Source organism: Homo sapiens, chromosome 16 (assembly GCF_000001405.40).
Source record: "Homo sapiens chromosome 16, GRCh38.p14 Primary Assembly".
NCBI classification, from domain to species: Eukaryota; Metazoa; Chordata; class Mammalia; order Primates; family Hominidae; genus Homo; species Homo sapiens.
Genome location: NC_000016.10, coordinates 24,108,228 through 24,128,955, shown reverse-complemented (window position 1 = coordinate 24,128,955; position 20,728 = coordinate 24,108,228). Strand labels below are relative to the sequence as shown.

Sequence of the window (20,728 nt, the reverse complement as noted above, 5' to 3'; positions counted from 1 at the left end):
CCCAATTTATATATATGCAGCATAATTTTGACTCCAGCAATCATTCAAAGTTCAATTCTTGAAAGACGTTGGCAAAACTCAAAGTTTCAAGGCATTATAAAAACAGACAGTTAAGGATAAAATTCTAAGCACCATTAAGCACTAAATGAAAAACCACCTATTGGGTACTATGCTCACTACCTGGGTACAATATACCCATGTGACAAACCTGCGCATGTACCCTCTGTATCTAAAATAAAAGTTGAGAAATAAAATAATTTTTAAACGTGAATGACACGTTTGAATGCTCTGTATTAAAAGTCCTAGAAGGCATCTACCTCCGAGTAAGCCAGCCATGCCAACAGGCCCTGCTTTGGTAAGATAGCCCTTCCAGGTAAACACTTCTGCCTGTTTAAAAAAACAAACTCTCCACAGTTTTCTTCTTTTGAAAGATTTTGAAACGGGCTTACACATTTGAAATTCAATGTCCTTCACCATTGCTTCCTGCCTTGTTTCATTTTTACAGGGCTTACCAAAAGGCTTGTGCCATTCCCTAGTTGCCCCACAAATTATTAGTGGGGCTGTTGTTGTTGTTGTTGTTTGAGACAGTGTCTTGCTCTGTCACCCAGGCTGGAGTGCAGTGGCACGATCTCGGCTCACTGCAACCTCCGCCTCCTCGGTTCAAGCGATTCTCCTGCCTCAGCCTCCTGAGTAGCTGGGAATACAGGCGCCTGCCACCATGCCCGGCTAATTTTTGTATTTTTAGTAGAGACAGGGTTTCACCATATTGGCCAGGCTGGCCTCGAACTCCTGACTTTGTGATCTGCCCACCTTGGCCTCCCAAAGTGCTGGGATTACAGGCGCAAACCACCGCACCTGGCCATTAGGGTTTAAAAACATGTTTTGTTTTGTTTTGTTTTGTTTTCCTGGGTTAAGGGAGGTGGAAACAGATTACCCCAAAGCCCCATCACTTTCATCTTTCGAAGGGGAAGAGCAAATCACTGCAGCTGTGTTCTTCTGTTTATGGAGATTGATCTATATACCTAACCAGACTGCAAAATGTTCAAAGTTGGAATTCAAATATAAAACCTGCATTAATTTACAACCCTAGTTGGCAACACTAGAGTTGCAAAGGATTACTCTGTTTTAAAGGATCATAGAGGTGTTTGTTATTCTACTTTGCTTTCATGACTTACTGTTGTTTTCATCTATGATTTATCTGATGCTATATCTCCAGTCTGGAACAGAGTTCTCAATTATTATAACAGTTTCCATGGAGACATATGATCTATTCTCTCATTGCTCCCCAGTGATTCATTCTCCTACGACTCCACCCACTACCCCCCAACCCCAATCCTTTCCATGGGACTCTCCAGAACTTCCAATCCTCCATCAAACATCCTCTCGTCTGTTTTGTTAAGTGATCAAAAACAGGCGTAGTACATGAACTTTTGAGTTAATAAGGACAAGAATAAAAAATGTTAAATTAGCTCAGGGGGACTGGAAAGACGCAAATTAACTGAATAAAAGTGTTCACATAGGGAAAGCAGTAGCAGTAAGTGGTCAGAGAAAGACGTGAACTTGGGTAGGAGCAGGACTTCTCAGTGTTTATCCTTTTAATATAATCTTAATGATGAATCATGTGAATGCATTGCTTATTAAGAATATCATGGCCGGGCGTGGTGGCTCACACCTGTAATCCCAGCACTTTGGGAGGCTGAGGCAGGCAGATCACCTGAGGTCAGGAGTTCAAGACCAGCCTGACCAACATGGAGAAACCCCGTCTCTACTAAAAGTGGAAAATTAGCTGGGCGTGGTGGCGCGTGCCTGTAATGCCAGCCACTCGAAAAGGCTGAGGCAGGAGAATCACTTGAACCTGGGAGGCGGAGGTTGCGGTGAGCTGAGATTGTGCCATTGCACTCCAGCCTGGGCAACAAGAGAGAAACACCGTCTCAAAAAAAAAAAAAAAAAAGGAAAAAAGAAAGCATATATATATATAATTTAGGACAGGTGCGGTGGCTCACACCTGTAATCCTAGCACTTTCTGAGGCCACGGCAGGATGATTGCTTGAGCTTATAAGTACTTGAGCAGCCTGGGAAACATAGTGAGACCATGTCTCTACAAAAAAATACAAAAATTAGGTCAGGTGCGGTGGCTCATGTCTGTAATCCCAGCACTTTAGGAGGCCGAGGCGAACGGATCACATGAGGTCAGGAGTTCAAGACCAGCCTGGTCAACATGGTGAAACCCTGTCTCTATTAAAAACTACAAAAATTAGCCGAGCGCGAGACTGAGGCAGGAGAATCACTTGAACCCTGGAGGTAGAGGTTGCAGTGAGCCGAGATGGCGCCATTGCACTCCAGCCTGGGCAACAGAGTAAGATTCTGATTCAAAAAAACAAAAACAAAAATTAGCCAGGCATGGTGGTGCATGCAGTTATTTGGGGGTCAGAGAAAGATGTGAACTTGGGTAGGAGCTGGACTGCTTGAGTCCAGCATGTCGAGGCTGCAGTGAACCGTAATGCACCACTACATTCCAGCCTGGACAAGAGAGTGAGACTCTATCTCAAAAAGAAAAAAAAAGTGCTCATTTAATTTGTAAAAACTCAGCTTATTAGAACCTCTTCTTTATTTAGGCCACTTTCTTCCTCATCATCAGAGAAACTGCTCCATGTTTGAAATCTCAATGCCTCAATTCTTCCTAACATTTTACGTATCTTGACCTCATCTATTTTTTTTTCATCCTTAGACTTCTAAACTCCCTTTTTCCCACCCAGGTGATGACCCTCTTTATGCTAGACATCTTCCCCAACCCAATCTAGATACCATTTTCATTCATGTATTCAACATGCTTTTCTTGAGCACTTGGTACAGGCTCTGTGGATCTGCAGTGGACATCTCTCTTCCCAGAATCCTTAACTCTCTTTCTTCCATAATCTTCTAGTTCACTGATTCTACTAATCCCACGCTTAGTTCAAATCCACCATCTCCTTCTCCATCTCCACCCCAGGGATACTCAGAGCTGCTGGTAAAAACCATACAACGTTGTGGACCACTGCCAACTGCCTATTCCCAACCTTAGGGACTGGATGGGCCATCTTACTGGCTGCCCTTACTCTCTATTCCCATCCCATGCTGAAGCTCTTCAGACTTTGAGCCATCATTTCAGATCCCTTAGTCCATCTCAGTGGATGCCCTTGCCACCCACAGACAGAGAGAATCCACGCATTCAATCTGGGCACTGAATGAATTCCATCCCTAGGCTCTGAAATCACAGTGGCGACCACGACGGAGAAGATCCCTACTCTTGTGGAGCTTAGACCTTAGAAAGGGAAGAGAGAAAAAATCAACAAGGACACAAGAAAAGCATTGCTCAGTGATGGGTGCCATGAGAGAGTTAAACATAATGGACAGTGAATGAGCGGCAACTTTTCAGTGGGTAGTTGGGGAAGATTTTTCAGAAGAAGTGGCGTCTAAGTTGAGATGTGAATTGCAGGAAGCAGCCGGCCTTGCAAACAGCAAAAGGAGCTGAATCACAAAGCCTCTAAGGGAGGAAGGAGCTTTGTGTGTTTCAGTGACCCAAGAGCTGATGTTGTGGCCAGAGCACAGTGGGTGATGGGGAGGAGAAAGAAGAAAGGAAGTCACACAGAGAACAAGGGCCAGATGATAAAGGGTGATACAAGCTAAGGATGTAACATAGAATTGCTTCTAATTGGATGGAAAGTCATTGGAGGGTCTTAAGCAGGGGAGCCCCTTGACCTAATGTAAGCTTTAAAAAATTATTACGGCTACGAAGTAGAAAGTAAATTAATTATAGGTAACAAGATTGGGATTGCAATTAATTATAGGTAACGATTAATTATAGGTAACAAGATTGGGATTGCAATTAATTATAGGTAACGATTAATTATAGGTAAAAAAGATTGGGATTGGGATTAATTATAGGTAACAAGATTGGGATTGAGAAACCACTGAGGAGTTTCTGCAGTTATCCAGGTGATATTAATGATTAGATTTGGGTGGTATTAGAGAGATGAAGAGAAGTTAGTGAATACATGATATACTTTGAAGGAACTGTCAGAATTCGCCAATGCATTGTACATGGCTGTGGGGGGCGGTGGCCAGGAACAGTGGGAATACAGGAAAGAGGGAAGCTCAGGGATAACTCCCAGGTTTTTGGCTTACGTTACATAGATGGAAAAGAAATTTATATTTTTTGCACACCTGAGTTCATGGTATGAGATTTATGCTAGACATCTTTGTGGCACGCAAAGAGACTAAAAACCCCAAAACAACACTAAATGAGTCAGAAATACTTATAACACAATCTCAACTTCAGTAAAACAGCATCTCGCAGTATCTATAAAAGCGTCCAGAAACACTGTATGAGTCCCAGGGTCATCCTTCCACTGTGCAACTGTTTGAAAGGAACCGTTTCCATTCTTGGCTGTCAGAGTGATCTTTTCCAAAAGGCAAATCCGATCGTGTCACTAATCTGCTTAAAAAGGTTCAATGGCTCCCCGCTGCACTGTGAGTGAAACCCAAACTCCTCATTGTAGCTTATAAGGTTTGCATCCTTGGGCCCTGCTTATCTCTGCAACATCACGTCCTATACCTCCTTCTGCTAGTGACATTTTGCCCCAACACCTTCTGATGGTTCCTAGGATGCACCCAGCCTGTCCCCACCTTGGAACTTTTGCACTTGCTCTCTTCTGAGAACATTCTTTCCTAGCTCTTTGAAAGCATAGCTAGTTCTTTCTCATCATCCAGGTCTCAGTATATGTGTCACCTCCTCAGACTGAAAGGGTCGCCTTTTTGTTTGTGACACAGCACTCCATTCATTTCCTTCATGGTATTCATTACAAAGTGTAGTGTGGCTCTATTTACTTCTTACTCTCTCTCCCACTAGGACGTCCGTCCCATAGGAACAGCAAATGTGCCTGTGTTGTTAGATGTTCCTTCCAAAGCAGGTGGAGCCACCAAATCATACCATACCTTGCCAAAGCTGCCTTTCCCCAGCACCATTAGGAAGTTAAAATCGGTCAGTTTCATCCGGTCTCTGTTGCCATTGTTGTCAAATTTGGAGACAGTGTTGGTCGTCTTTTCTTCCGGGACCTTGGTTCCCTGACTGATCTTGGCCCTCTGCAAAAAGGAAGCACACAGAAAACATGCTCAGGGTTTGAGGACGATCTTGTAGGAAGGCACAGGCACACAATGGGAAGCTGTAGTTCCTGCAGCTCCGGCACCCTGTCCCCATGAAAAGCATAGCCATGCATCACTCCACAAGCCTGAAACCTGTCGGACATCCTTTGCAACTCCATCTTTCTTTTATCCCTCATGTCTCAACCATAACCAGAACTGTCATTTCTTTCCTCCCAGCTGTCTCTAGAATTCATCTACTTCTTTCCATCTCAACCATCACTACCTGCCATCATCTCTCACCTGCACAAGGCACAGTGATTTCCCTTACACTGGGTTTCACACACAACCACAGTGAGCCTCTCATCCAACCAAGTCCCCTCCTGCTTAAAATGTCTCAGTGGCATCCCATCATTTTCAGGGTAAAGATCGAGGTGCTTTCATGGACTTGTGTGTTTAGGCCCTACCTGGCTTTCCAGCTCCATCATTGCTAGGGTGCTTCTTCTCTGCAATGTAGCTTCATTCTCCTTTCACTCCCCTGGATGTCCCAGGCCCCTCCAACCACAGGGCCTTTGCACCTGCTGCTGCTACTGTGGTACAAATGGCTATTCTCTCCCCTTCAGCAACCCAGCTTGGGGTTCACATTTTCATGGCTCAGGGAAGCCCTCATCGATTCTCTCTGTCTGCACTAGGTTCTCCTCTGATTTTCTTCCTTCATCCACTTCTCTTCCCATAAATACTGGAGGATAACTGCCTGTTCACTTGTTTCCTTCCAATAAATTGGAGACTGTTGTGGACACGGAATATTTCTCATTCTCCATGGTTTTCCTGACAACTAGTATAGTTCCCAACTAAATATTTGTTGCATAAATGGATGAGTGAGGGCCACGTGTGTCCTCAGTGCAATGGGAGAGGGACTCCTTGCCATGAGCTGTGGAATGGGGCTCAGAGTGGCAGCAGGTGCTTTGGAATGAGGCAAAAACTGGAAGCCATGAGTGGGAGACCTGCAGCTGCCAGGACTTCGTTACTGGATTCACGTTTAGCAGAGAGAAAACTGTGGAGTTAAAAGCTCATGTGTGGCTGGGCACAGTGGCTCACACCTGCAATTCCAACACTTTTTGATGCTGAGACAGGAGATTCGATTGAGGATAGAAGTTTGAGAACAGCCTGGGCAACATAACAAGACCCTGTCTCTACAAAAATAAAGAAAGTTAGCCAGGCAAGGTGGTGTGCACCTGTCATCCCAGCTACCTGGGAGGCCAAGGTGGGAGGACTGCTTTAGCCCAGGAGTTAGAGGCTGCTGTGAGCTATAATCACACCACTGCCCACCAGCCTGGGTGACAGAGTGAGATCCCATCTCTCTCTCACTAAAAAAAAAAAAAAAAAAAGCCTCGTGGTAGAATCCTCTGACATGAATCAGCTGTGTGGCCCAGAATACATCAGTTAAGTCATAACATTCCTCTGCCCAATATATATACCATCCCATTATTCTCAAAGTAAAAGCCAAAGGCCACAGATGACTGAGCCCCTCTGATTTCAGCCTCCTTTCTACTTCCGCACTGGCCTCCTTGCTGCTCTCTGAATGCACCAAACATGCTCTTACCCCAGGGCCTTTGCACCTGCTGTTCCCTCTGCTCAGAGCACTCTTTCCCCAGAACTCTCTCACCTCTGATAAGAGGGCTCTTCCCTGAACACCCTACATAAAATTGCTCTCAGCAATCTCCATCCGCCTTACTTACTTGATTTTCTCTAAAACACTTGTCACCATCTTACAAACCATATATTTACTTGTTTCCCAATTTATCATCTTTCTCCTTATACCAGAATGTAAGCTCCCCAATGGCAAGGATTTTGTCTGTTTTGCTTTCCACTGTTTCCCTGGTACCTAGAGGAGTATGGCACAGAGAAGGCACTTAATTTGCATTTGGTGATTGAAGCTTCCTAAACATTCATCACCTTTTCAAGACATGGAGATGATGACATGAAATGATGTATCACAGAGTCCTTAGTATCATTCCTGGCACACAACACATGCTCAGTGAATGGTAGCTATTATTATTGTTGCATTATTTGGTTGCTTTGAAGATAAAGAGGCAAAATAAATCTTTCCAAAGTTTTGAATATCAGGGAAGATTCATTCATTCATTCAAAAAACATTTATTGAGGCTGGATGTGGTGGCTGATGCCTGTAATCACAAAGCTTTGGAAGGCTGAGGCAGGACTGCTTGAGGCCAGGAGTTCAAGACCAGCCTGGGCAACACAGCCAGACCCTATCTCAAAAAAAAAGTTTAATTAGCTGGACATGGTGGCAGTGGGCCTGTAGTCCCAGCTACTTGGGAGGCTTAAGGCAGGAGAATCCCTTAAGCCCAGGAGTTGGAAGCTGCAGTAAGCTCTGATCACTGTATTGCACTCCAGTCTGGGCAACAGAGCAAGACTCTGTCATAAACAAACCAACAAACAAATCAAAAATTCTTGTTGAGTACCTGCTACATGCTAAGTGCTCCTCTAGGTGCTGAGGATACATCAGAGGGCAAAATGGATACAGATACTCTGAAAAAACGTGCATTCTAGCTGGGATTGGGTCCTCCATACTGTGTCCAAAAGGTATGTTGGGGTTGCTGAAGTAGATAAACTGGTATTGGCAGCAGGAACAGCATTTATGGAACAGAGGGGAAGACACATTCAAGGAATGAAACATCGTCTGGCTGGATCATGAAATGCAAGGCAGATATGGCACAGGAGGCAGACAAAGTGTTGAAAGGACCTTAAGAAATTCAGGCTGACTATGAGCATGACAGACAGCCTTTGAAAGGTTTGAAGCAGGGCTATGGTATGACCATACATATTTAACAGGTCACTCTGAGTGGAGAGGAGACCCCCCAGCACGTGGGCTGAGTGATCACTAGGAAGTCACTGCATTATCAAGGAGAGAAATGATGAGCCAGGCATGGTGGTGTGTGCCTGTAGTCCCAGCTACGCGGGAGGCTGAGGTGGGAGGATCCCCTGAGCCCAGGAGTTGGAGGTTGCAGTGAGCCATGATTGCACCACTGCACTCCAGCCTGAGTGATAAAGGGAGACCCTGTCTTAAAAGAAAAAAAAATGATGGACTCAGTTGTCTGCAGTGTAGACTGAACAAAGTGGATCTATTTGGGAGACAGACTGACCCCAGATGGGTAGCAGATTGGGCAAGGGAGAAGGGAGATTGGAGATGAAGGACAGCTCCCCAGCCTCTGTTCTGACCAACTGGCAGGATGCTGGTTGTTTCCACTGAGATGAGAAGAAGCGGAGGAGGAGCAAGTTTGGAAGTGTGGGGAAGAGGGTGGGCAGAGATGACCGGTGTGATTTCAGGCATGTTGAGATCCCCTCTTCCCCACAGCAGCTTAAAACTTCAAGGTTTATTTCTCCCTCATGGGGTGCATATTCCACTGTTACCATATAGGAACCATGGCTAACAAAGCATCCGCCATTTTCTCTTTATTCATGTTTTGAAACTTGAGGTGGGCACCGCAAAGTGCACCAATCTCACGTGCACAGTTCTGTAGATTTTGACAAATGTGCACACCCATGTAACCCAAACCCCAAACAAGACGCGGAACATTTCCATCACCCTCCAAAAGTTCCCAGTCGACGCCCCCCGCAACCCCCGCCACTAAGGCAATCTCTGTTCCAGTTTCTATCCCATAGGTCAGTTTTGTCTGTTCTTGAATTTCATCTGAACAGCATTGTAGAGTGTGTACTCTTGTGCCTGGCTTCTTTCACTCATCAAAATGTTCTTGAAATGCATCCATGTTTTTGCATAAATCGGTAATTTGTCTCTTTGTATTGCTGAATGGCACTCATTGTTGATGTTTATCCCGTCTCCTGTGTACAGGCATTTGAGTTGTTTCCCCTTTCGGCCTACTAACAACGCTGCTGTGAATATACTTGGTCAGTTTACTTTGCAGTAAGATATGTTGAGGTTTAACCCAAGTGTAAATACCCAGTAAGCAGTTGTATACATGGGTTTGGGGCTTGAGCAAAGATATCTGGACTGGAGACAGAGATTTGGGGTGTAGAGGCAACGAGGGGGTAGTTAAAACTACAAGGTCATCTTATTTGCAATGGAAACTGCAAACAAAAGAGCCAGGGTAGGACAGAAGCCGTCTCACCTTTCTCGGGCTATGTCCTCACACCCTCCTAAATCATCACCCCCAAGCTGGCCTGACCCAAACACTTTCCCTACTCCCCTCCCTGCTGCCCCATCACCTTAGCACCATGTGTCCTGCCTTCTTTGAATCCTGGCTCAGGACCCATCTGATTCACAGTCTCCATTCTCCAGACTGTGAAGATCCAAGTCCTGCCTGCCCCAGTTCCCATTTCCCATCCTGGGAACTTTCCCATCCACCTGCGGGTCCCAGCACACACTCCCCATGAAACGTGAGCACGGACCTCAAACTTCCTGATTTCTTCATTTGACTTTGCGTAGTGGACAGATAAGGACTTTTTTGGGGGGGTGGGAAGAGGGGTTGATTTTTTCCTTGTCCTTCAAGGAGCAGCTAACAGCCTCATCCCTCAGCACTAGAAACTCCCTTCTCTCCTCTGAATCTGGGGCTGGCACCCCTCTTTCCTCCCTCCCTCCCAGCTTGCTTTTATAACTTTTCTCATGGGCATGTTAATTTAACTTCTAGAATCTAGATCAGAAGTCTAATAACCCTGGAAAAAAAAAAAAAGAAGTCTGATAACCCTGTTGGTCTGGTCTGCACAGAGTTTGTTGTCATTTTAATATTTAATTAGTTGCCAACTGTTGAAAATTTGGAGATATGAAAACCCAGATCCCCAGCTTCTTTTGAAGAAGGGGATCTGCTAACACTGGGTGATGCCAAGCTCTTTCGCCTTCTTGTTGTTTGCCTGGCTCCTGAAAACACCTGGGTTTGTGGCCCCTACTCAGTGAGCCTTCAGAGGACAGGAGCCCTGTCCTTTGTCCTTTGAAATATCCCATTGTTCCAAGGGGACAATGCCTAGCACACACTGCATCAAAGAGCGAACATTTTAAAATTGAGGCACAAATTAAACTCGTCCTTTATCTTGCTGTGTGGGATGTGCTTTCAGAAACAGGAATACACTAATGGTTGCCTTTTCATGTCTGCGATTTAGAGCCCTAGAACTCAATGCTAAGAGAGAAAGCAAATAGCATTTCTGAGCAAAGAGCCAAGCCACCTTCCAGACAGCACGAGGGGACAGTGGAGAAGCCCTGGCAGCCAGACTCTGGGCTCCACTCCCGATGATGAATGCCTGTCCTGGCTAAAACTGCAGATTCCTCTGCCACTCCACCCCTACAAGGAACTACTACAGGCACTCCCAGCTACCCAGCAGTGGGGCAGGGACCTCTGTAGGCTAGGAGTCCCTGTAGATTTTCCCTAACCTCCAAGCAGCCCTTCCAAAGCCCAGAAAGAGGATGTTCTGAGCTTTATTTATCCCGAAGGGGGAGACAATAATTATAACAACCACCATGATGCTAGCATCTAACATCTGGATATGTATGACATGTGAGACACTCTGCTAAACGCATTACCTCATTCAATCCTCACATAACCTCATGAGGTAAGAAGTGCTATAATTCCCCATTTTACAGGTAGGGAATCAGAAGCTCAGAGAGACAAAGCAACTTGCTTACAGCCACTCAGCAAGGAGGTGGCAGAACTGGGATTCAAATCTAGGCAGTCTGGCTCTCAAGCAATCACACTTAACCATTAGGCTACATTGCACAGGTACAATCGCTGGTGTTCCTCCAAGACACCACCAGCATGCTGCTCTCTACACCTAGGGCTGCTAACAGCAAACACCTGTGATTCTTTGCCTGTAGCTTATTTTCTGGTTATAGGAGCGGGCACAGCGCACAGGGCACATTGAAAGTGCGGGTGAGTGGATTTCCCTGGGAGCAGCCCTTAGCCTGCAACGGAAGGGGAGCCGACGGATAACCCCTCAGCTTCCTGTCCCTTGATTGGGAAATTCTGAGGCATGCATTCCGCGCTGACTTGAGAGTTCTCCAGCAGGGTTAAACCCTAGCTGCCCACAGCAGTAGTCTGCTTGATAATACTTACTTTCCTGGTTTCCCACCTTTTCTGGCAATGCTTCCTTATTAACTTATGGTGCTTCCAGGATCACCTCTCAAATAAAGTACTTGCACTTGAATCCTTATAGTCTGTTTCTGGGAAAACCCAAACCCAGGACAATGACTGGCTCTGGGACCTTATAAAGTTACTTAAACCTCTGTGGGCTTCAGTTTCTTCATTTGTAAAAGTAAAATAGCGTGATAATAGTACCTACCATTCTAGGTTGTTGTAAGGATTAAATTACCTGAGTTAATATTTGCAAAGCACTTAGAATCATAAATGGCACACAGTAAGCACTTTGTTATACAAATAAATTTTAAGACTCTGAGAAATCCCACTGTGCGCCATCCAAAATGGAGTCTTCTTTTCCAAAGCCCACGGTCGACTGAAAGCCCCCTAAGCAAACAGCCAGCTCTGATGTTCTGAAGTATACCACGTGTGGTAACTGCGCCAAGCTCACACTACCATGAAATTCTATTACCCCAATTCTAGCAGCTCGATTTTACTGTCACTCAGAATTCCTCCAGATAAGAGGCTTGAAAGTAATTTCTGAGTCATTCCGGGTGCTAATTGGTTATCGCCCAGGGATTACATTTCTCATGTTCAAGGTCAACTGAAATTCCTCTGTGAGCCTGAGAACAATTTTCGGTCTGTTGGAAACATTTTTTTAAATCAACAAGTACAGTATGCAGCGATTATAATTCAGGCATAAACAAGCATTTGCAGGCTCTTGCTAGAAAGAAAGGGACACAATTTCTTGCATGCGGATAAAACAGTCTCCTATTCCAAGCCAATTACTGGCCCAGACAAATGCTCTGTTTGTGTAGCAAATCTTTTCCTTGGTGTTCTGAAATGTCACCCCAGCTGCCCCAGGACAGAAAAAAATCATTTTGCAAAACTGAGACTTGGTTATATACAAGAAAATACTGGCCTTGTGTTTTTCACCCGTAATAGTACATTTCTATAACAGCAGCAAATGATACCACTTCATCAGCAAGTTGGGGGAAAGAGACAGAAAGTGTTCTCTGGAAAGACTGCCTTCCTGTCTTAATTTTTATCAAACAGTATCCAGTTTTTAGTTCTACTTGGAGGGAAGGTTCTTTTTTCAGTTCACTTGGGCTTGAGTCCAAGACTTTGGGAACAAGCCTCTGTTATCAAGGTCACTGGAGAATGACTGATAAGCTCAAGGCCAATGTGTCTGTTCCACTTGTTCCCAGGAAGGGAGGACCCCACTGGGTCAGAACTATCACTATCTTCCAGCATGTCGGGTGGGCATAGGCTCAAGACAAGGAATTTGGGAATACGTAAGTGCTATTTCTTTTTTTATTTTTTTTTAAATATATATTTTTTAATAATAGAGGTAGGGTCGCTATGTTGCTGAGGCTGGTCTCGAACTCCTGGGCTCAAGCAATCCTCCTGCCTCAGCCTCCCAAAGTGCTGGGATTATAGGCATGAGCCACCGTGCCTGGCCCCTAAGCGCTATTTCTATCAAGTTGAGGGGAGAACAAACTTGATAGTTTGTTTCTTTCAACAAACAAACTTGTCCTTTATCTTGCTGTGTACGATGTGCCCTCAGAAACAGGAATACACTCACTAATGGCTGCCTTTTCATGTCTGCAATTTAGAGCCCTAGAACTCAAAGCCCCGTAACCAAACAGAGGCAACCAACTCTGACGTACTGAAATATACCACGTGTGGTAACTGGGCTCTTGGGATAAATGCTAAAATCCTTGGGATATCACGCCTGTAATCCCAGCACTTGGGAGGCCGAGGCAGACGGATCACGAGGTCAGGAGATCGAGACCATCCTGGCTAACATGGTGAAACCCCATCTCTACTAAAAATACAAAAAATTAGGCAGGCGTGGTGGTGGGCACCTGTAGTCCCAGCTACTCGGGAGGCTGAGGCAGGAGAATGGCGTGAACCCAGGAGGTGGAGCTTGCAGTGAGCCGAGATCTCACCAGTGCACTCCAGCCTGGGTGACAGAGAAAGACTCTGTCTCAAAAAAACAAAACAAAACAAAACAAAATCCTTGGGATAAATGCTCTTGGGTAAATGCTCTTGGGATAAATGCTAAAATCTTTGGGATAAATAGTCTTGGGAAAAATGCTCTTGGGTAAATGCTCTTGGGATAAATGCTATCCTTGGGATAAATACTCTTCGGATAAATGCTAAAATCATCGGGATAAATACTTTTGGGATAAATGCTCTTGGATAAATGCTCTTGGGATAAATGCTAAAATCCTTGGGATAGATACTCTTTGGATAAATGCTCAAGTCCTTGGGATAAATACGCTTGGGATAAGTGCTCTTGGGTAAATGCTCTTGGGATAAATGCTAAAATCCTTGGGATAAATATTCTTGGGATAAATGCTAAAATCCTTGGGATAAATACTCTTTGGATAAATGCTAAAATCATTGGGATAAATACTTTTGGGATAAATGCTCTTGGATAAATGCTCTTGGGATAAATGCTAAAATCCTTGGGATAAATACTCTTGGGATAAATGCTAAAGTCCTTGGGATAAATACTCTTGGGATAAATGCTAAAATCCTTGTCAAGGCCAGCACAGCCCTACGTACTGTGACTCATGCCTACTTCCTCAGCCTTTCCTTGGACTCTCTTTGGCTTTCTCTGCTCTACCCAGGCTGGTCTTCTTTCAGTCTCACATTGCTGCTATATAACCCCCAACCACAGGGCCTTTGCACATGCTGTTTGCAGAACAGAATACATTTTCCCCTCTTTTTACATGGTAAACTTCCATTGCTGTTTCCTTCCTGACACCTCCCCATTCTCTCAAACTACGTGACATTTCTCTTGTACATGTTCTCAAGGTACCTGACCTCTCTTTCCCAGGACTTTACATGGTCTTTACACGTTTTTTTTTTATTTGTGTGTGTCATTATTTGATGAATAACAATAATAAAAATTAATTTCATTTTAGCTATGCTATTATATACATTTTTGGGGAGTTAGTAGGCCATCATGGTTTATCTAGAATTGATCATCTCCCACCAGACTCAGTGTATTGAGTTTGTGGGAACAAAATAATGTGCTTTTCCTCAGGAAACTACTAAAATCACTCAATGCACATATAATGTAAGTATTCAAACCTATCTTCCCCCAAACATTTTCTTTGTAAAGCAAGGATGTGTCCTATACACCTGCTGCTCTTAGGTAGCTGAAAATGGTGTTTATTTGTCCCCGTAGAAGGAAAGGGATTTATTTCAGGTAGGAGCAGAGCCAGCAATGTAACTCAAGGTCACAGCCAAGGGCTTTCCATTTGATAAAACTATTCTCTGGGAAGATCTACCCCCAGGGTATTTCATGAAGTCATTAGCACAATCAATTCCATTCGTTAACTATATAGCATCATTCTGTCAATAGAGCCAATCCAGATTCCATCCATCAGCAAGCCTAGTTGACTCAGCCTCCAAAATATATCACTTCTCTGTCTACTTATTTTTTTTTTTTTTGAGATGAAGTCTCGCTCTGTTGCCCAGGCTGCAGTGAGCCGAGATCGCACCATTGCACTGCAGCCTGGGCAACAGAGCATTACTGATCATGCAGTGGCACAATCTTGGCTCACTGCAGCCTCTGCCACCCAGAGAAATTCTTGTGCCTCAGCCTTCCGAGTAGCTGGTATTACAGGCGTGCACCACCATGCCTAGCTAATTTTTTTGTATTTTTAGTAGAGACTGGGTTTAACCATATTGGCCAGGCTGGTGTCCAACTCCTGACTTCAAGTGATCTGCCTGCTTCAGCTTCCCAAAGTGCTGGAATTACAGGTGTGAGCCACCGCACCCGGCCCTCTGTCTACTTCTTTCATTCACCATGACTACCATTCCAGTCCAAGTCACCATCAAAATGGTGGGCAGTGAATGAGCACTTTTGAAGAAATGTCTAAGCCTGAATGCAGACAGGGAAGCAGGAATAACTTCATAAGGCAAGGGCATTTAATTGGGGTCTTGAAGGATTAATCAGAGTTTTCTAGGAGATAAAACAACCTTGCAAAGGCTCAGAGTCATGAAAAGTCTTAGTAGAAACCATGCCATAAACAGGAAAATCAGCACAGCAGCAAACCTAACTGGTTCCCACTGATGAAAGAAAGGAGATGAAGAAAGAAGAGAGAGACAAGAGAGAGGAAGAGAGAGAGAAAGGGGAGAAAGAATGAAAAGAGAGAGGAAGGAGGAAGAAAGAAAGGAAAGGGGGGAGGGAGGGAGGAAGGAGGGAAAGAAGGAAGGGAGGAAAGGAAGGAAGGAAGAAAGGAAGAAGGAAGGAGAGAGAAAGAAACAAAGGAAGGACAGAGAGAGAAAGAAAAGAAAGAATGAGAGGGAAAGAGAAAGAGAGAGGAAGGAAGGCAGGAAGGAAGGAAGGAAAAAACAAAGAAAAGGGGGGTAAAGAAAGCAAGCAAGAAAGAAAGCAAGACAGAAAGGAAGAAAGCGAGAAAGCAAGCAAGAGAAAGCAAGAGAGAAAGGAAGAAAGCGAGAAAGCAAGCAAGTAAGCAAGAAAGAAAGAAAGGAGAAAGAAGGAAAGAAAAGAGAGAGGAAGAAGGAAGTAAGGAAGGAGAGAAAAAAGAATAAGAGAGAAAGAGAAAGAAAGAGGAGGGAGCAGGAGGAAAGAAGGAAAAAAGAAAGAGAAAAAAGAAAGAAGAGAAAAAGAAAAGAAACCTCACCTCAAATTTCTGCCGCAGTTCTTCATTGGCCTCACTTCCTTCTGGTGGCACAGGCACATTGAAGTACTCGCCTTCCTCCTGGCTCAGTAACTTAAACCTGAAGGGAGACAAGGGGGTGGGACACATTTCATGACTCGACTCGGTATTATTTTATTGATCAGCATATGAAAAGGAGGCCTATATAAAGCTCTACTTGAAAAAATATACGTTGAGGGTTTTTTGGTTTGTTTTGGTTTGTTTTTCAGTATGTTGGGTGGGGGTAGTGTGCATGGTACACTACCAGGTACACTATGTATTTTTGTAACTCTTCCATGGACAGCAGAAAAAAAATGTATATCACATGTACATAGGAGGCAAAGTTCTCACTCTCTCTCTATACACACTTACACAGTTTTCTTAGTTATATCGTTAAATTACTGTATATTTTTACCTACTTTTTGTCCATTAAGTAGTTTCTTATTCTGAAAGAATGCTATGAAGATCCCTCATCGTAAATTTCTTGTTGTTGTTGTTATTGTTGTTGTTGCTTTTAGAGATAGGGTCTCACTCTGTCACCCAGGCTGGAGTGCAATAGTGCAATCACAGCTCACTGAAGCCTCGAGCTCCTGGGTTCAAGCGATCCTCCTGCCTCAGCTTCCTGAGTAGCTGGGGACTATAGGCATGTGCCACCATGCCCAGCTAATTAAACAAAAAAAAATTTTTTTGTAGAGATGGGAGTTGGCTATGTTTCTCAGACTAGTCTTGAATTCCTGACCTCAAGTGATCTTCTCACCCTATCCTCCCAAATTGCAACCCCCACTGCCTGACTGTAAATACACTCTTGTCATGCTCTTCCAGCATTTCTACCTTTCACCCTACATAGGGTGCATAGGGTGCCACTTTGCCATCCTGGCACTCAACTGCATTTAGGTGACCATGGACTTGACTTCATGATGCTATTTTCTCTGCAAAAGTTTTCCCAAAATGTGCTGTAGTCAGCCTTTTTGAGAAACGGCATCCCTTAGTGGTTAAGCGCACAAGCCCTGGAGTCAAACCATGTCTGGGTGCAAATCTCATCTCATAACCTTAGACAGGCTGGTTAGCCTCTCTGGGCCTCTGTTTTTCTCATCTATAAATTGGAATACAAATTCCTTTTTCATAGAATTCTTGTGAAATTGAAATGTAATGACGCATGTAAAATGATAAGCACAGCACTTGGCATTCAGCAAGTATTCAATTAGTGGCATCATCATGATTATTATTACTGTGACTAATGTCATTATTATTATTTTAGAGACAGGGCCTTGTTCTGTCACCAAGGCTGGAGTGCAGCAGCACAATCATAGCTCACTGCAGCTTTGACCTCCTGGGCTCAAACAATCCTCCGGCCTCAGCTTTCAACTAGCTGAGACTAAAAGCACATCCCACCACACCTGGCTGTTTTTTTTTTCTTTTTTTTCTTTTCTGGCAGAGATAGGGTCTTGCTATGTTGCTCAGGCCAGTCTTGAACTCCTGGGCTCAAGCAATCCTCCTGCCTCAGCATCCCAAGTAGCTGAGATTATAGGCACATCCCACCATGCCCAGCTACTACTAATATAATAATAAACATGGGGGCTTCAGTTTGTTTCTTGACCACAAAGATTTTTTCATCTAGTAAGAGGATGAGATGAGTGTGAGGAAAGAAAAGGGACATTCTAAAAGCATTTGAATCAGTGGGAAAGAAAAAAGACCCCAAAACTCCTCGCTCTCAAAGATCATTCCTAACCAAAGTTTAAAATTTTCATCACAATGTTTTCTCTCCATTCACGAATCTTCTTACGCAGCTTCCAAAAATGGGCTAGGTGATTCAAAGCAGAGAAGACAATTTGAGCCTCTACGCCTCCACATTTAATATTCCAAATTTTCTTCCAAAATTCCACGGAAATTACCAAAAGAAATATAAAAACAAGAGAGCATCTGTATCTTTGCTGGAAATCGAGAAGGGTGCTATCCACACAGCAGGGACTTCCAGGGATTCCTACAAATTAAAGTAATAGAAAGAAAACAGAGCTATTTTGGGTAAACTTTAACTTTATCCATTCAGATGCTACCTTTGTGGATTTTGCTAGATTTGTATATCAGCGTTGAAATATCTGTTTTACTTTTTTAATAATAAATTTAATTTTAAAGGACACTTTTTATTTCTTCCTTGGAAGGAAATTCAATATCACTTGTTACAAATAGAAAATAATTGTTAAAAACAAACAAAACAAAACAAACAAAAAGATAAACAGGTCGTCGTGGTGGCTCATGTCTGTCATCCTAGCACTTAGAGAGGCTGAGGAAGGAGGATCACCTGAGGCCAGGAGTCCAAGATCAGCCTGGGCAACATAGCGAGACCCTGTCTCTACAAAAAAATTAAAAAAATTTAGCTAGGTATGGTGGCGCATGCCAGTAGTCCCAGCTACTTGAGCGGCTGAGGTAGGAGAATCGCTTGAGTCCAGAAGGTCAAGGCTGCAGTGAGCTATTATTGCACCACTGCACTCCAGCCTGGGTGACAAAGCAAGACCCTGTCTCTCAAAAAAAAAAAAAAAAAAAAAAGGTTGGGCATGGTGGCTTATGCCTGTAATCCCAGTACTTTGGTAGACCAAGGTGGGCAGATCACCAGGTCAGGAGATCGAGACAACCTGGCCAACATGGTGAAACCCCATCTGTACTAAAACCACAAAAAAATTAGGTGGGCATGGTGGCACGCGCCCGTAGTCCCAGCTATTCGGGAGGCTGAGACAGGAGAATCGCTTGAACCCGGGAGGCAGAGGTTGCAGTGAACCGAGATTGCTCCACTGCACTCCAGCCTGGGCAACAGAGCGAGACACCGTCTCAAGAAAAAAAAAATAGACTTAAAAGATTGGGGACGCTCTCTCCCTCTCCCTCTCCCTCTCCCTCTCCCTCCTCTCCCTCCTCTCCCTCCTCTCCCTCTCCCTCTCCCTCTCCCTCTCCCCACGGTCTCCCTCTCCCTCTCTTTCCACGGTCTCCCTCTCATGCTGAGCCGAAGCTGGACTGTACTGCTGCCATCTCGGCTCACTGCAACCTCCCTGCCTGACTCTCCTGACTCAGCCTGCCGAGTGCCTGCGATTGCAGACTCGTGCCGCCACGCCTGACTGGTTTTGGTGGAGACGGGGTTTCGCTGTGTTGGCCAGGCCGGTCTCCAGCCCCTAACCGCACGTGATCCACCAGCCTCGGCCTCCTGAGGTGCCGGGATTGCAGATGGAGTCTCGTTCACTCAGTGCTCAATGGTGCCCAGGCTGGAGTGCAGTAGCGTGATCTCGGCTCGCTACAACCTCCACCTCCCAGCCGCCTGCCTTGGCCTCCCAAAGTGCCGAGATTGCAGCCTCTGCCCGGCCGCCACCCCGTCTGGGAAGTGAGGAGCATCTCTGCCTGGCCACCCATCATCTGGGATGTGAGGAGCCCCTCTGCCTGGCTGCCCAGTCTGGAAAGTGAGGAGCGTCTCCGCCCGGCCGCCATCCCACCTAGGAAGTGAGGAGCACCTCTGCCGGGCGGCCATCACATCTAGGAAGTGAGGAGCGTCTCTGCCCGGCCGCCCATCGTCTGAGATGTGGGGAGCGCCTCTGCCCCGCCGCCCCGTCTGGGATGTGAGGAGCACCTCTGCCCGGCCGCAACCCCGTCTGGGAGGTGAGGAGCATCTCTGCCCGGCCGCCCCGTCTGAGAAGTGAGGAGCCCCTCCGCCTAGCAGCCGCCCCGTCTGGGAAGTGAGGAGCGTCTCCGCCCGGCAGCCACCCCATCCGGGAGGGAGGTGGGGGGGTCAGCCCCCCGCCCGGCCAGCCGCCCCGTCCGGGAGGTGAGGGGCGCCTCTGCCCGGCCGCCCCTACTGGGAAGCGAGGAGCCCCTCTGCCCGGCCAGCCGCCCCGTCGGGGAGGGAGGTGGGGGGGTCAGCCCCCCGCCCGGCCAGCCGCCCCGTCCGGGAGGTGAGGGGCGCCTCTGCCCGGCCGCCCCTACTGGGAAGTGAGGAGCCCCTCTGCCCGGCCAGCCGCCCCATCTGGGAGAGAGGTGGGGGGGTCAGCCCCCCGCCCGGCCAGCCGCCCCGTCCGGGAGGGAGGTGGGGGGGTCAGTCCCCCGCCCGGCCAGCCCCCCCATCCGGGAAGTGAGGGGCGCCTCTGCCCGGCCGCCCCTACTGGGAAGTGAGGAGCCCCTCTGCCCGGCCACCACCCCGTCTGGGAGGTGTGCCCAACAGCTCATTGAGAACGGGCCAGGATGACAATGGCGGCTTTGTGGAATAGAAAGGCAGGAAAGGTGGGGAAAAGATTGAGAAATCGGATGGTTGCCGTGTCTGTGTAGAAAGAAGTAGACATGGGAGACTTTTCATTTTGTTCTGTACTAAGAAAAATTCTTCTGCCTTGGGATCCTGTTGATCTATGACCTTACCCCCAACCCTGTGCTCTCTGAAACATGTGCTGTGTCCACTCAGGGTTGAATGGATTAAGGGCGGTGCAAGATGTGCTTTGTTAAACAGATGCTTGAAGGCAGCATGCTCGTTAAGAGTCATCACCACTCCCTAATCTCAAGTACCCAGGGACACAAACACTGCGGAAGGCCGCAGGGTCCTCTGCCTAGGAAAACCAGAGACCTTTGTTCACTTGTTTAGCTGCTGACCTTCCCTCCACTATTGTCCTATGACCCTGCCAAATCCCCCTCTGTGAGAAACACCCAAGAATTATCAATAAAAAATAAATAAATAAATAAATAAATTTAAAAAAAAATAAAATAAAAAATAAAAAGTCAATCAATTAAAAAAAAATAATAAAAAAAATAAATAAATAAAAGATTGGGGACAAATAAACACTGTAACCTAATCCCATACATGTT

The 20,728-nt window shown here is 45.7% G+C and overlaps 1 protein-coding gene across 3 annotated transcripts in view; it reads right to left on the bottom strand.

Annotated features, from left to right (window-relative positions):
* PRKCB (protein kinase C beta) overlaps positions 1–20,728 on the bottom strand; it is a 384,629-nt gene that overhangs the window by 91,656 nt on the left and 272,245 nt on the right. For all 3 annotated transcript variants that reach the window (NM_002738.7, NM_212535.3, XM_047434365.1), the window contains 2 exons: positions 15,887–15,983; positions 4,975–5,121 (listed from right to left, as the gene is read on the bottom strand). In NM_002738.7, the coding sequence (NP_002729.2) occupies positions 4,975–5,121; positions 15,887–15,983 (244 nt within the window). The remainder of the gene's footprint in view (positions 1–4,974; positions 5,122–15,886; positions 15,984–20,728) is intronic.